The sequence below is a fragment of the Homo sapiens genome, chromosome 2 (genome assembly GCF_000001405.40).
Source record: "Homo sapiens chromosome 2, GRCh38.p14 Primary Assembly".
Classification (NCBI taxonomy): Eukaryota; Metazoa; Chordata; class Mammalia; order Primates; family Hominidae; genus Homo; species Homo sapiens.
The window spans coordinates 109,842,692-109,858,245 of record NC_000002.12 but is presented as its reverse complement, the minus strand read 5'-3'; the positions used below and the strand labels follow the sequence as shown (position 1 = coordinate 109,858,245).

At 39.0% G+C, this 15,554-nt stretch overlaps 1 protein-coding gene across 3 annotated transcripts in view; it reads right to left on the bottom strand.

The window, feature by feature from the left end:
* Positions 1-540: 540 nt before the first annotated feature.
* The window catches only part of RGPD5 (RANBP2 like and GRIP domain containing 5), a 97,088-nt gene continuing 82,074 nt past the window's right edge, over positions 541-15,554 (bottom strand). For 2 of the 3 annotated variants that reach the window (XM_006712794.5, NM_005054.3), the window contains exons 21-23: positions 13,004-13,143; positions 10,235-10,436; positions 541-2,384 (exon numbers count right to left, since the gene is read on the bottom strand). In XM_006712794.5, coding sequence (XP_006712857.2) covers positions 2,350-2,384; positions 10,235-10,436; positions 13,004-13,143 — 377 coding nt within the window. In that variant the 3' untranslated portion in view covers positions 541-2,349. Of the gene's footprint in view, positions 2,385-2,556; positions 10,437-13,003; positions 13,144-15,554 lie in introns of those variants that run through there. The other variant, XM_047445980.1, reaches the window with a different exon arrangement.

The window sequence follows — 15,554 nt, the reverse complement described above, 5'->3', positions numbered from 1 at the left end:
CTCCAGGAGATCGAGACCATCCAGGCTAACACGGTGAAACCCTGTCTCTAGTAAAAATACAAAAAATTAGCCGGGCATGGTGGCCGGCGCCTGTAGTCCCAGCTACTTAGGAGGCTGAGGCAGGAGAATGGCGTGAACCTGGGAGGCAGAGCTTGCAGTGAGCCGAGATCGCGCCATTGCACTCACGCCTGGGCGACAGAGCAAGACTCTGTCTCAAAAAAAAAAAAAAAAATTAATGACCTCTGCCCCTAACTGAACAAAGCCCTTCATCTAAGGCCACCCTTTGGTTGGCAGCCTTAGCCAGACATCTGCTTCTGGTCAAATCAATGTCTTGTCCACAGGGAGGCCCAGCGCTGTTTCTGGTTTTAGCTGGATGCAGGGTGTCAGACATGGCAGGTACTACGGTCTACCTGGCGGGTATCAAAGAGTTGGTCGACGTTCTCACAACAACCTAATAGGGACCAACCATGGAAGGCCAGTAGTAAAGGAGTTTGAAGTTCCCTTTCAGAAACCAATTAACAACCCCAAAGAGACAGTGGGTAACATAAAAGAGCAGCCATAAAAATATACAGTTTTAATAGAAATATTAAAATAATCATTACACTTCCTCTCATTGCAGAAACCATGAAAGAATATGCCTTTTGTAATCAAAGTAATTTTTTATCATGCAAAAAAGTATTTTGTTATGACATTCGTAAGTGGAGACTGTATTTCAAAACAAGTTTATACAGACTTCAAAAGGTCTAAAGTCAAAGTGAAATATATTTAAATATGATTAGTTACATCTAATGCAGCTGGCATACTCATATTCACAGTTTATAAAGTAAAAAAACTAAACTCTTCATGTCGGCTCTGAAATAGATGCATTTTCATTCATACATTCGCTAGTTAGGTCTGTTCTTCTAAGGAGGAAAGACGAGATATATGAGATATTTTTTAAAGAACAAACTCAACATATCAGCAGCAAATTTCAGTTAAACTAAATTGGAAACCAATGTTCTGTGTAACCAAAGTGCAAAGTCAGTTCCCCAGCTCAGAAAGAAAATTAAGAGTATAAACTGAAGGCTTAAGAGAACTTCAGAGAGCACACTGTGTGATTAATACATAAATATTAAAAATTATCCAATTTTTGATTTAAGAACAACACAGTTTGGATCTAGTCATTAAAACATATGCACAGGTGTCAAAGGCAAGTAACACTACCACCTAAGGTTATTCGGAGGAACTGTGAAGATGTAGCACGGACCTCTAAGGTGTCTAAAATCCCTTCTGATGGAAAGGTTATGGAACACTATCTGCCAAAAACACTGAAAGCACCACTTTTATATTTAGATCCAATGCTGAGTGATATAGTCACTGTTGGGATAGGTTTTTATTTGGGAAAATGGAGAGGATTCTCAAAACAGATTCATGGCTTGCATGCAGTGACACCCTATCAAGAGCCTGGAAAGACACCATGAAATCACCTCAACTCAAGTGGTGGGCCCACCTACTCATAGTCAGTGTTACACTAGCCAGCTCTAGGGCTCTGACAACATAATGAGTTTTGAGGTAGTATACTTTAAAGAAAAAAAGAAGAGTTTATTTTAAAGCAAATAACTAAACTGTATTTTAACTTAGCACAATTAACTGCAGCATATTTACTTCATAGCCCCTTAACATGTCACTTTTACCAACAAAGCTTTTTCCTTCATATTCTAATCACAAAAATTTCTCAACAATTTATAACAATCTGTAAATCTGACCTTGCAATAAATAGTCATAAAACGTTATTTTTATTACTATTATTATTTTTAGAGACAAGGTCTCGCTCTGTTCCCCGAGCTGGAGTGCAGTGGTACAATCACAGCTCACTAGCCTCAAGCGATTCTCCAGCCTCAGCCTCCCAAAGTAGTGGGATTTCAGGCATGAATCACCACACCTGGCCTTGAAACATTATTTTTAAAGCCTAAATTCCAGTTGGTATGGTACCAAAATTTAGTTTAACTTCAAAATTCACAGTACTGCCGAGAAATGGGCGGGTCCTGAGGTTCCAGAGAAGTGGGGAGTGAATTCATTCCTGGTGGTTTTATTCTGGCAGCATGCATGGGAGATCACATGAGTTAGAGGGCTGTGGCCTGGTATCAACACTTCAAGCTGTTGTACTTTTACTTCAAGTTGAAACTTTTAAAATACATCTGTCATACAGATGTACAAATATATGTAAATGCAAACATATATACACACTTTTTGACAAAAGAATAATGGTAACACACACGAACCATTTTTGTAAACAGATTCTATTTGGTTAATAGAAGTATTCCTTCCATCAACCTATCGAAGTCCAAACCAACTACGAAGATAGGATGCTCATCCAGAAGAACGGGAAGCATTTTCTTCCTCATCTTTAGAAAGTAAAACAAAGAAAAAAAAAAGAAAAAAGAGAGTATTAAAATTTCTCAATGTAAAATCTATATTTTAGAACCACTCTACAATATAAGCAAATAATGTCTTTTTTACTGATCACATGCCTTTTTTGGTGGGGGGGGGGGGTTCTTTTTTTTTTTTTTTTTTTGAGATAGGGTCTTGCTCTGTCACCCAGGCTCGAGTGCAGTGGCGTGATGAGACTTCAATGCAGCCTTGATCTCCCAGGCTCAAGTGATTCTCCCACCTCAGCCTCCCAAGCAACTGGGACCACAAGGTGTGTACCACCATGCCTGGGTAATTTTTTGTTTTTTTGTAGAGATGCAGGTCTCACTGTTTTCCAGGCTGGTCTCAAATTCCTGGGCTCAAGTGATCCTCCCACTTCAGCCTCACAGTGTTGGGATTGCAGTCACGAGCCACTGTACCCAACCATATGTCATTCTTTAGACACACTGCTTACTAAATTTCTCTTTTTAAAGGATATACTGAATTTCCGGTTGAGCCAACTTAACAGCTAATTTTCTATTTTAGCTTTAAAACATTGATAAGCAACATGAAGCAATCTAGAACTTAACCTTTAAATGGCTTTATTAAAGCAATCCAGCTATGAAAATTATGCAGAAATGATTATCTACAATCTTACCAGCACATAAGAAATTCTTCCTCTATTCTGAAATACCATCTTCTCACAATATACTTTGATGTTATGAATCAATGTCTGTTCTTGAACATTATTTATTGTCTTTCTCTATTAAACAATTCCAAAATAAAATTTCCAGCACAACTAAATATTGTTGACGATAAGGGGATTTAAAAAAAAATTCTTTTAAAACAGAAGCTTATATACAACTTAGAATCTAAAACCAATAGATTTATGGGAAACCTTAAAACTGAACCACAACAAACAAAAACCAAAGTTTTAATCATTTAAAAATCATGTTTATTGAGGTACAACTTACTTATAGTAAAACCTGCCCTTTTCAGCATATAGCACTGAGTCTTGACAAATGCACAGTTACGTACCACCACCGACCAAGGCCTGGCACATTTTCATCTCCTCAAAGTTCTCCCTGGCTGCTTCTCCCACTCCTTGGCAACCGCTAACCTGTTTTCTGTCCTTATAGTTCTGCTTTTTTCAGTGTCATATAAGTAGAATCACACTGTACATAGTATTTTGAGTCTGACCTCTGTCAACTGGCATAATGCATTTGAGAATTACCCATGTTGCTGAACTGGCAGTGCATTCTTTTTTATTGCTGAGCAGTATTCAATTGCACGGCTGTACCAGTTTGTTTATTCATTTGCCAGTTGAAGGATAACTGAGATCTTCCTCGTTTTTAGCAATTTTAAAGAAAGTTTCTACGAATAATTGTGTACAGGTTTTTAATTAAATGTTTTGGAGATATAATTCATATACCACATAATTCACCTTTTTAAAGTGCATAATTCACTGGTTTTTAATATATTCACAAGGTTTGTGCATAGGTTTTTGTGTGAATACTGGTTTTCATTCCTCTTGGATAAAGATTTAATTTGGTATTACCCTTCCAGACACCTTTCTGTGTTTTCATACGTATATATGTATGACAGTTTGACCTTAGGCAGAGTAGCATTTTCAAAATTTTACATGGGGAAACTTTCTAGAGTTAAAGTCATTTTATTTTTCTGTTCTGTCTGGTTTTATCTGCGTGTTATTTACAATCTGCTGCGTAACAAATTACTACAAACTTAGTACCTTAACACATATTTATTTCACAGTTTCTGTGGGTCAGGAGATCAGAAATGGTTCTATTTCAAGGTCTCTCACAGGGCTGCAATCAAGATGTTGGCATGGCTGGGGTCTCATCTGAAGGCTGGACTGGAGAAGAATCTACTTCCAAACTTATGTGGTAGTTGGAAGAATTTAGTTCCTCAAGGCTGCTAAACTGATGGCCTGTGTTCCTTGCCTCTGGGATGGTAGCTTGCTTCAACAAAGTGTGCAAGCAGAGAAGACAGAGAGAGGCCGCTAGCAAGATAGAAGCCACAATCTCTTGTAATCTATCATTCTTGCTGTATTCTACTGGTTAAACATAACTCATTAGGTTAGCCTACTGGCTCTCAAGGGGAAGAGATTATACAAAGGCATGCATTTCTGGAGGAGGGAATGAGGGCAAACAATTCTGAAAAGTCTGTCTTCCACAACCTGAAGAACTTCTAGAAAGTAGGAGGAAGCGATATTGCTTAGGGATGGACAACTTGGCACTGGTTATGTGTTCCAAGTGAGGTAACCTTGTTCCCAAGAATAAAGAGAACCAGACGACTGTAAACATTTCCCTAAACTGAAATGCAGACTGTTGTATGTTCACCTGAAATGAATGGTGTAAGCTGAATATAAGATTTTTGACAAAATAAAAATTTTGCTGTGTTCTCAGATCTGGCAGGCTCCTGCCCTTGTGCAAACAATGTTCCTGGCAGCTATTCATCTCCTTAGGTAAATAAGAATTGGAGAAAAGCTGTGCTTAGATAGGGTGCATTTGCTCTTGCCTTGGAAGGCTGTTTTCTGATAAGGTTCTATATCCTCTGCAAATCAAATCAGGCACTTACAGTGTGAGTATGCATTCTCTTCCTGCCAGTCTGGAGATGATCAAAAAGCCTATAACAGGCTTGGCCTATTTTCCTATTGGGTTGCTGGGCTTTTTTTCTTTATTTACTTGTAGAGAGTTTTAGACCTCTGTGTATGTATGGTGTACAAGTGACAATATTCAGATCTGTAAACTGTAACCCAGTCTGGGAGCAAAGAAGATATACAAAAATGACTTTTACTTCCAGCTTGAGTAGTAAAATTGAGATTCAAATTTTGCATATAGAAGTACTATATGGCTAACTTATTTGGGGAGCAAAGCTGACTTACCATAAGTCTATCTCAAATAGAAATGAAACACTCAATTTGTGAAATATGCTGAGTTTTAATGCGTGTGGGGGCAGGGTGAATTAACATTTGTGATGCAAGGAGAAGAGCAATCTATACTTACCACTGTCTATTTGACATTGGGGACTACTGCTACACTCTAAGTCATTTTACCTTATAACGCAGAGTTGTAACATGCTACTCTGAGCAGCTCATGACATCTGCTTGAAATTTAAGTTGGGCCCCTAATATGTGTTTATTATAAAGATTTTGATGCTGCTTTTCAGAGTTGGGTAACCTACTTTACCCTCCTAAGCTAATGTTTCCCAAATACACCCAAACCCACAGAAAGGAAAACTATTCCTCATTAACTCACAGCCAACATCATAAACATTTTATATCTAGAGCTGATGATACAGTCAGGTATTTACCAACACTCATGTATGTATGTAGAGTTTCAAGAAATAATTGCTTATCCTTACCAGATTCAACATATTCTAACGTTTCACATATTATTTTTATTTCTTAATATTTTTTTAAAGATGGGGTTTTACTCTGTTGCCCAGGCTGAAATGCAGTGGCGTGACCAGGATTTCGACCAGAAGTTTGACTGCAGCCTCGAACTCCTTCTAACAAACAATCCTGCTGCCTTAGCCTCCCGAGTAGCTAGGACTATGGGCACATGCCACCAGATCTGGCATATTTTAAAATTTTTGTAGACATAGGGTCTCGCCATGTTGCCCAGGCTGATTCTGAACTCCTGTTCTCAAGCAATCCTCCTGCCTGGTCTTCCCAAACTGTTGGGCTTACAGGTGTGAGTCATTGAGCCCAGCTTGTATTCTTTTGATTTAAAAAAAAAATATCCTGAATGTGATCCACCAAATTAATTTCACCATCCACTAATAGGTAGCAACCTGAATGAAAAATACTGTTATAAACTTTACACAAAACCAGAGATTATAAACATTTGCCTCCAAGGAGATGAGAGAGGCAAAAGGTACTTGTTTGCTCTGATGGGCCCTGTTTCCTTCAGTGCCAGGAAGAGTGGCTCTCAGACCTTTCTTCTGGCATCCCTCATGTATGCAGTGTTGGTTATTATTTTCAAGGCCTTGGTAACAAAATGCCCCTAGTGTGACCAGTCAGACTGACAGTCCATATCTGTAATATGGTGGTAAGTTTCCTTTGCATGTCTTTCTTTCTAGCATCTTAGACCTTTTACCTAGGAAATTTTCTTTTTGCTTGAAGTACATCATTAAGAATTTCCAGTGAAGGCAGATTCTTAAAGTTTTTGTTTTCCAGAAGAGATCTTGGAAAATATAAAAGGTTGGCAGTTATTTCTTTTAGTACATGAGATAGTATTACACCAATGCTGTTGAGAAGTCTATTGTGAGGCAATGTGTCTTCTTTCTCTGGCTGCTTTTGAGATTTCTCTCTGTCTTTTTTAGGGGCAGTTTTACTCTTATGTGACTAGAAGTAGATTTCTTCTTTTTTTTTTTAATACTGCTTGAGATTTTATTGGGTTTTTGAATCTGTGGATAGATATCCTTCAACAGTTCTGAAAGATTTCCAGCCATTCTCTTCATATATTATCTGTGCTGTATTCTCGTCTCTCCTTTTAGAACTTCGATTAGTAAAAACATGTTTGATGTCTTTTCCCACTCTTGTTTTTTGTTTCTCCCATGCTGAATTCCGTGTAATTTCTTTTGAACCATCTTGTAGTTTACATTCTTTTTTTTTTTTTTTATTTTTTTTTTTTTTTTTTTTTTTTTTTGAGATAGGAGTTTTGCTCTTGTTGCTTGGGCTGGAGTGCAATGGCACCATCTCGGCTCACTGCAACCTCTGCCTCCTGGGTTCAAGCAGTTCTCCTACCTCAGCCTCCCAAGTTGCTGGGATTACAGGCATGCGCCACCACGCCCGGCTAATTTTTGTATTCTGAGTAGAGACGGGGTTTCACCATGTTGGCCAGGCTGGTCTCGAACTCCTGACCTCAGGTGATCTACCCTCCTCGGCCTGCCAAAGTGCTGGATTACAGGTGTGAGCCACCGCACCAGGCCTTACATTCTCTCTCTTAAAGAGAGAATGTAAGGTATCTAAATCTGCTGCTAAACCATCATTGTTTTTAATTGTAATAAGGTCTCTTTTATGTACTCACATTGATAAGAGACAAGTAGGAAATAATCTTTAAAGGGCAAACTAATGTAAATGTGTTTTCCTGTCTGTTTACAGGACTTAGCAAATGCACATCTTAGAGTTCTGGGTTTCTAATGTGTATCTCCTCTATGAAATTCTTTAAAAATATCTGTTATTGGTATCCCTTAGGTTAGTCTCTTTTAGAACTTCTAAATCAATGGACCCTTAACTTATAGGAGCCACCTGGACGTTAGCAACACCTACATTAAACATGCTGAGCTTTTAAAAGAGGCCTGTTAGACATGCTGAGTATTTTGAGATAGTATCATTGTTGTATTGAAAACTATTGAAAACTTTAATTTTAAAATGCAAACGTTCTTAAAGTCCTGGTTAATTTTATAACTATAAAATTAGTTATAATTTTGAGATTTCTGTCTTGTTTTTTATAAGGGCAGTTTTACTCTTAGGTGACTAGAAGTAGATTTCTTCTTTTTTATAACTATAAAATTAGGTTTACTTTTGTTAGAATAAATTAAAGACAGTGAATTTGTAATTTGAATAAGTATTAAAAATATACATGATGTATTCTTATTTGGGCCCTTGTGACAAAAATACTATTGTGGCTATAGAAACCTATCCTATAGTTTGAAGAACTGAGATTACTGTCAGTATTGAGAACATTCCTCCTTCATCATTAGAAAGATTATTAAAAACCAGATTCAAAGAAACTATCAATACTACTTATGAAGTATGTCTGTAAAAAAAATTAAGCCTGAATCTTATCAGGCCTCTAGACCGGGGGTTCTCAAGGTATGGGCCCCAGACCAGAAGCATCAGCAACAAATTGCTAAAAATGCAGAATCTTGGGTCAGAAATTGGGGACCAGCAATTGGAATTTTAGTAAGTATACCAGATGATTCAGATGCCTGCTCAATTTTGAGGATGACTCTTATCAGTTTAGTTATTAGGGTTTACAGGGGATGGGGAACATGTTAAAGAACACCAACTAGATAAGGTCAATCAGTCAAAAGTAAGTTGTCTGGACATTCTGGGCCTCCTCATGTCTTAGAAAGCACACAATACCATCTATGATGTATTTTTGTCCACCATCCCACCCAATTGCACCTGGATCTTCCTATTTATAGGCAATTGGAACAAGCTCAGTGTTACCCTGTAATGATTAAAACCCAAATATAGAACTGCTATAGCATAAATGACCACTTTCTTCAATTAATAAGTGGCACATTAAAAATATACTTATATATATAATTGTTATAGATAAAAAAACAACAAAATGGCTGGGTGTGGTGGCTCACACCTGTAATCCCAGCACTTTGGGAGGCCAAGGCGGGCAGATCACAAGGTCAGGAGATTGAGACCATCCTGGCCAACATGGTGAAACCTCGTCTCTACTAAAAATAGAAAAATTAGCTGGCGTGCGTCTGTAGTCCCAGCTACTTGGGAGGCTGAGGCAGGAGAATCACTTGAATCCGGGAGGCGGAGGTTGCAGTGAGCCATGATCGGACCACTGCACTCCAGCCAGGGTGACAGAGCAACACTACGTCTCAAACAAACAAAAACACAACAACAAAATAAAGCTTAAGGAATATCAACCAAATGCAATATATGAGCCCTATTTAGGATACTATAAAAAGACATTCACAATAACACAGGCAAAATGAACATAAACTAGGTATAGGTGACAGAGAAATCCAATAAACATTGAATTATTCACTGGGGAAAGAAATGATGTGTGGGATTTAAGTCTCTAACTCTCCCCTAGTTACGCCAAAAGATTGTCCATGAGTTGAAAACTGTTAGAGATGGGTGACAACTCAAGAGAGATTATAGCGTCTTCCTTGTGCTTGTAAATGTCAAAAATAAAAGTAATTTAAAACTAAAACAAAAACGAAACCATAATTCTTAAGATGCAGCTTGAATTCAGTTAACTATAGCAGTTGTATATGAAGCATTTCAAAGAAGTTAATGACATCACAGTATTAAATCCATCTGACATGGAAACCAACTCTAACTACATCATAGTTTTTTGTTTTTTTTTTTTGAGATGGAGTCTCGCTCTGCCATCAGGCTGGAGTACAGTGGCGTGACACATCACTGCAACCTCCGCCTCGTGAGTTCAAGCGACTCTGCTGCCTCAGCCTCCTGAGTAGCTGGGACTACAGGCGCATGCCACCACGTCCAGCTAATTTTTGTATTTTTAGTAGAGACGAGATTTCACCATGTTGGCCAGGATGGTCTCGGTATCTTGATCTTGTGATCCGCCTGCCTCGGCCTCCCAAAGTGGTGGGATTATAGGCGTGAACCACCGGCGCCTGGCCTATGGCACAGTTTTAAAACTGCATTTGCCTAGAAAGTGGACTGCTGTATATAGACCAAGTGTTGGGCTCTATGGCTCCATTGTCTTAGGCTATTTGGGGTTGGAGGAAGGAAGAGGCGTGAAGTAGAAAAGGAACAAGCTAATAAATGTTTTTTAAAAAGTAGAATTTAAAACAAAACCACGTTCAGCTGAACACCAGAACTCAACCCCAGGATAAAAATCCAATTTTCAAAGAGCTAGAAGATCAAGCTAAGCACTTATTGTATTTTGCTGAACGTTAAAATTATATAAATGTACTACAGTTGCCTCAAGATGTTAAAAAGTCAGCTTTTCAAATCTAGTCACGGCCTACTCATATGACAGACCCAATTCAAATGAGCAAAATTGAAAAGTTACACATACAGACAACTTCTCAACCACCAGGCTGTTTAGTTTAAGTTAGAAGTCAGAAGTTCTGAGACTCTCCTTTTACCCACCTTGAGCAACCGCAGCAAGTTTTCCCTTTTCTTCAGGGCTGAGCTGCAACATCGTATTTATAACAGGAAGAAGTCTCTCTCTTTCACTACCTGGCTTCAAGAAAATGAACTGCAGCAAGACGTTCTTCAAGTATTCCAGGTTAGCTGCAGACTTCTCTCGCTCTTGATTCCTTTCCAATCTTCTTATTTCACTTTTGAGAAGCTGGTGTTAGAGAAATGAGTTAAAAATGGGCTTTAGGAGCTTCTGATTAAATATGGCAGACTGAACTCATGTATTTTTCTTCTCTTCCCCCCAAATTTCCCCCTTCCCTCCATATGGCAATAAAGGAAGGAATTCAGTTAACTACAGCAGCTGCATGTGAAGCATTTCAAAGGAGTTTATGACATCACCGTATAAAATCCATTTGACATGAAAACCGGAACTCCAACTATGAGATAGTTTCAAAGCTGCATTTGCCTAGAAAGTGGATTGCTGCATATGAACCAAGTGTTGGGCTATAGGACTCCATTGTCCTAAGCTATTTGGGGTTGGAAGGAAGAGGGGCGAAGTAGAAAAGCAACAAGCTAATACAAGAGGAGAAAAAGTAGATGAGACACATCAAGAAATTCTCACGAGAAACAGATGAAGAGGTGGAAATGAGTCAGTCCAGCAGCTTACCAAGTATCACTGACAAGAGGAGAGGATGCATCCTGTGTAAATACTGGGGTTCTTGTCTCAGAAGCACAGGGTATCATGGAAATGGAGTTGAAAGCTGGGGAACTGATGGAACGTCTCCATGAGGAGCAACTAACTGGAGCCATGGGTTGGTACCAAGATGTTCCCTCTGCCTTCTACTTTCGATAGAAACTAAGCCAGTATGGCATGGGGCTCTGAAAATGGGCTGAGGGGAACATCGGCAGCCTCCACTAACCCCCTGCCCCTACCCTGTTCCTAAAGTCCCAGGCAGTTAAGACGTCCACAGTGAACGGCACTTAATCAAAACAAAAGTTCAGACACAGTGAAAATTCAGGAATATAAGACAATGTAAAACACTATCAGAGAAATGAGGCAAAGAACACTATAAAAAAGGTAATATCATGTTCAAGTCTTTGAGGAAGATTTCCAGGTTGAAACCAAGCCATAGCTTTTAGTATATTTTCATTTTAGGTTAGGCAAGAAAGTTAGCGAACTTTGTCCTCAAACCTAGGACCATTTAAAAAAGTGACAATAAAGAAGACGAAGAAATCATGAAGAGAGTACAAATTTATGAAAATATAACATTTGGCCAGGCGTGGTGGCTCATGCCTGTAATCCCAACACTTTGGGAGGCTGAGGCAGGCAGATCACGAGGTCAGGAGATTCAGACTGTCCTGGCCAACATGGTGAAACTGTGTCTCTAGTAAAATAAAAAAAATTAGCCGGGCATGGTGGTGCATGCCTGCAGTCCCAGCTACTCGGGAGGCTGAGGCAGGGGAATCGCTTGAACCTGGGAGGCGGAGATTGCAGTGAGCTGAGATTGCACCACTGCACTCCAAACCTGGTGACAGAGCGAGACTGTCTCAAAAAAAAAAAAAAAAAGAAAATATAACATTTAAATAAGTCATTTAGGTTTACTGGGCTAGTTAGTGATTTGTTAGCTATGATAATGTTTTTATTAGTGGGAAAATGTTATTTTATAGAGATGCATACTGAAGTATTTAATGGTGGAATGTCATGATATATACAATTTACTGAAAATAACTGAATTCGGCTTTAAAATAATCTGACAAGGATAGCTAGTGGCCTTGCACAGTGGCAGGACAGATCTATTAGGAGCAGCAAAGTACAGGGGAAAAGCATGTACTTTTCAGACAGCTATGAGTTTGAATTTTGTTCCACCATTTACCAGCTTCAATTTTTCTCTCAACCAGTGATGAGATTAAATAACGTATGTAAAGCCCAGGGCCTGGGTCATAAGAACTCCTCAACAAGCAGTATGACTATATTCTGAGGGGTGATTTATCAGTGAGCCAGGGTGGAAAAACCTCATTTGAGTAATCCTCAACTGTTCTGCAACATTCCTAGATGTTTCTGGTGTCTACTTTAAACAGGAAAAACTTCCCATGCCACTTTGCCATCTCCACCTGAAAACTGTTTAGTAGTTCAGTACTATAAATATCAGTTGAATAATTTAAATTCACTGGTTATCTTTAGAATTCAAAGACTCACACCCATTTTTTATTTAAGCATATGTGAACAATGATTTGTGAACATCTCTCTAGTTTCTAAATCTATTACGGTTTCTTAGGAAAAGTAGGAATTAAGAAATAATCTTTATGTAATAGGTGTAAAAGAAGTATTTTGGCTGGATGCGGTGGCTCACACCTGTAATACCCGCACTTTGGGAGGCCAAGGCAGGTGGATCACGAGGTCAGGAGATCGAGACCATCCTGGCTAACATGGTAAACCCTGTCTCTACTAAAAATGCAAAGAAATTAGCCAGGCATGTTGGCGGGCACCTGTAGTCCCAGCTACTCGGGAGGCTGAGGCAGGAGAATGGCGTGAACCTGGGAGGTGGAGCTTGCAGTGAGCTAAGATCGTGCCACTGCACTCCAGCCTGGGTGACAGAGCAAGACTGTCTCAAAAAAAAAAAAAAAAGGCAATATTTCTCACCATCAGGAATCTAATATAAAGATCAAGACGTTATAGATGCATCTGCAATGTGAATTTTTAAACTTGGGTGCATGTGTGTGGAGGGTCCAGAAAACCAAACTGGCGGTTTTCACGGTGGCCAGGTTTTCTGATCTCACCTTAATTTGCTCCATAAGGACTGCATTGGTTGCCTCTATTTCCCGAAGCAGGCCGTTTAAGTGATCTGCACTTTTTGTGGTGGAACGGAGCTTCTGAACCAATTCTTCTTTGGTAAATTCAGCATGCCATAATGGAGGCTCTGCAAGATGTTGTTCCAAGAATTAATTTTCAAAATCATACATTACAGATGAAGATTCTAAATAAGAAAAATCTAAATATAAATATCTTACTATGTGATATTTTATAGGTCTGCTTTCTTTGCCATTCATCTATTCAGCATACCTCAATCAACAGATTATATGTTGTAGGTGACACAAATAAAACAGTATCTCTGTTGTAAAGCATGTAATCTAACTGAATAAAGCCCTATGAATCCCAGTTCTGAAATTTGTCAGAATTGTGTTTATAGACAGTTTTATTACACATCTTCTTCCCATCTATTAATATTCCAAGATTTTATGTCATTTCACGTATAAGGAAAGCATTAACATTTACTGGTCACGTATCATGTTCCCTCATAAGAATCTTCTATCAGGCGGGGTAGGTATCATTATTCAAACTTTACAGATGATGAAACAGGCTCACAGTTGACAGGTAATTTTTTCAGAAATCACAAAGTCAAATTGGCTTCTGGAGTCTGCTGCTCTATCATGATGCCTCCGTGTCACCACTATTAACTTTGCCTGAAGGAACCATGACTTGCAGTTTCTACCCCACGTGGTCAGTGACCATGAATACAAATGACCCTTACTCCAGGTGATTCTGAAGTTTCAGGAAGATGACAGATTCCCCCTAAATTTTGAACAGTAATATTAATTACAAGTAATAAAATATACCAAAACATCACTACAAAAATTTAGCATTACTTCATCAAGAGGAATAAACTGAAACTGTCAGTTTCTTGGAAGGGTGAGAGGATAGTTTATCCTGCTTTCTAATACCCACCACCTATTTGTGACTATAAACTTCCCACCACTTATTTATGGTTCAAGCCTAGGGCAAGAGCTAGCATTTTATTTTAAAAAAGATTTGTTTAATAATTTTTCCATTTGGACAGTGTGATGGTTAATACTGGGTGTCAACCTGATTGGATTAAAGGATGCAAAGTATTAATCCGAGTGTTGTCTGTGAGGGTGTTGCCAAAGGGATTAACATTTGAGTCAGTGGGCTGGGGAAGGCAGACCCACCCTTAATCTGGTAGGTGCCATCTAATCAGCTGCCAGCGAATATAAAGCAGGCAGAAAAACCTGAAAAGGCGAGACTGGCCTAGCCTCCCAAGCTACATCTTTCTCCTGTGCTGGATGCTTCCTGCCCTTGAACATCAGACTCCTAGTTCTTCAGTTTTGGAACTTGGACTGGCTCTCATTGCTCCTCAGTCTGCAGATGGCCTAGTGATCGTGTAAGGTAATACTTAATAAGCATCCATCCATCCATCCCATCCATCCATCCAACCATCCAATTAGTTCTGTCCCTCTAGAGAACCCTAATACAAACAGGTAGTGGAATATTGAAAGAAATTTTATTGGAGCAGCCCAAAAAAGCATATGTACCTTAGAGTAATAGTAATTAAATAAGACAGTGAAATTAAAGAAGAAGAACATATTTAGACAGAGTAACAGACCAAGTTTAGTTTCGGGAGAATTAAGCAGCTGCTCTAAAGACTGTGTGTATGTGCTGGCGGAAGACACAGACTCCGTATCAGTTGTCTCCATGCCTTCTCCCTCTTCCTGGGTTACAGTGTGCATGTCTAGAAGCGGGAGGTCTGTGTTTCTCCTTTCTCGAAGGTTCTTCAAAGATTGTTGAGAGGAAACTGGGCCTATTAGATTTTTTTTAAAGGTTAAGTGTGAGATTGTTCAAAATCTATTGATTCGGCCTTACAGAGGTACACAATAAAATGAAAATATCAAATGATAAGAGTAGAGGAATTAAGTAACTATAAGTGAAAGGTGTATGAAGAATTGCTAAAACATTTCTTAAAATTTAGTCATCAAGGCCGGGCGTGGTGGCTCAAATCTGTAATCCTAGCAGTTTGGGAGGCTAAGGTGGGTGGATCACGAGGTCAGCAAGTTCAAGACCAGCCTGGCCAAGATGGTGAAACCCTATCTCTACTAAAAATACAAAAATTAGCCAGGCACAGTGGCAGGTGCCTGTAATCCCAGCTGCTGGGGAGGCTGAGGCAGAGAATTGCTGGAAACCAGGAGGCGGAGGTTGCAGTGAGCCAAGATCACGCCACCGCACTCCAGCCTGGCGACAGAGCGAGACGCCAGCTCAAAAAAAAAAAACAACAAAAAAAAACTTACTCATCAAACTTTTAACTACGTTAGTCATTTTAATAGCAGCTATAAATTAATTGCTACTAGCTAAGATAAACTGTTAGATAACACAGCTCATAATATAGTACTACTTATTTTTTATTAATTTAGAGTAGAGGGCCAAACTACTGCTAAATACTGGCCAAAATTAAAAGACTAGATTCTAGAAATTTTTCAGGATTAGGTATTTCAGATTGCTGCATACTTCTTGAAACACACTTGCTGAAATCTGCTTGGT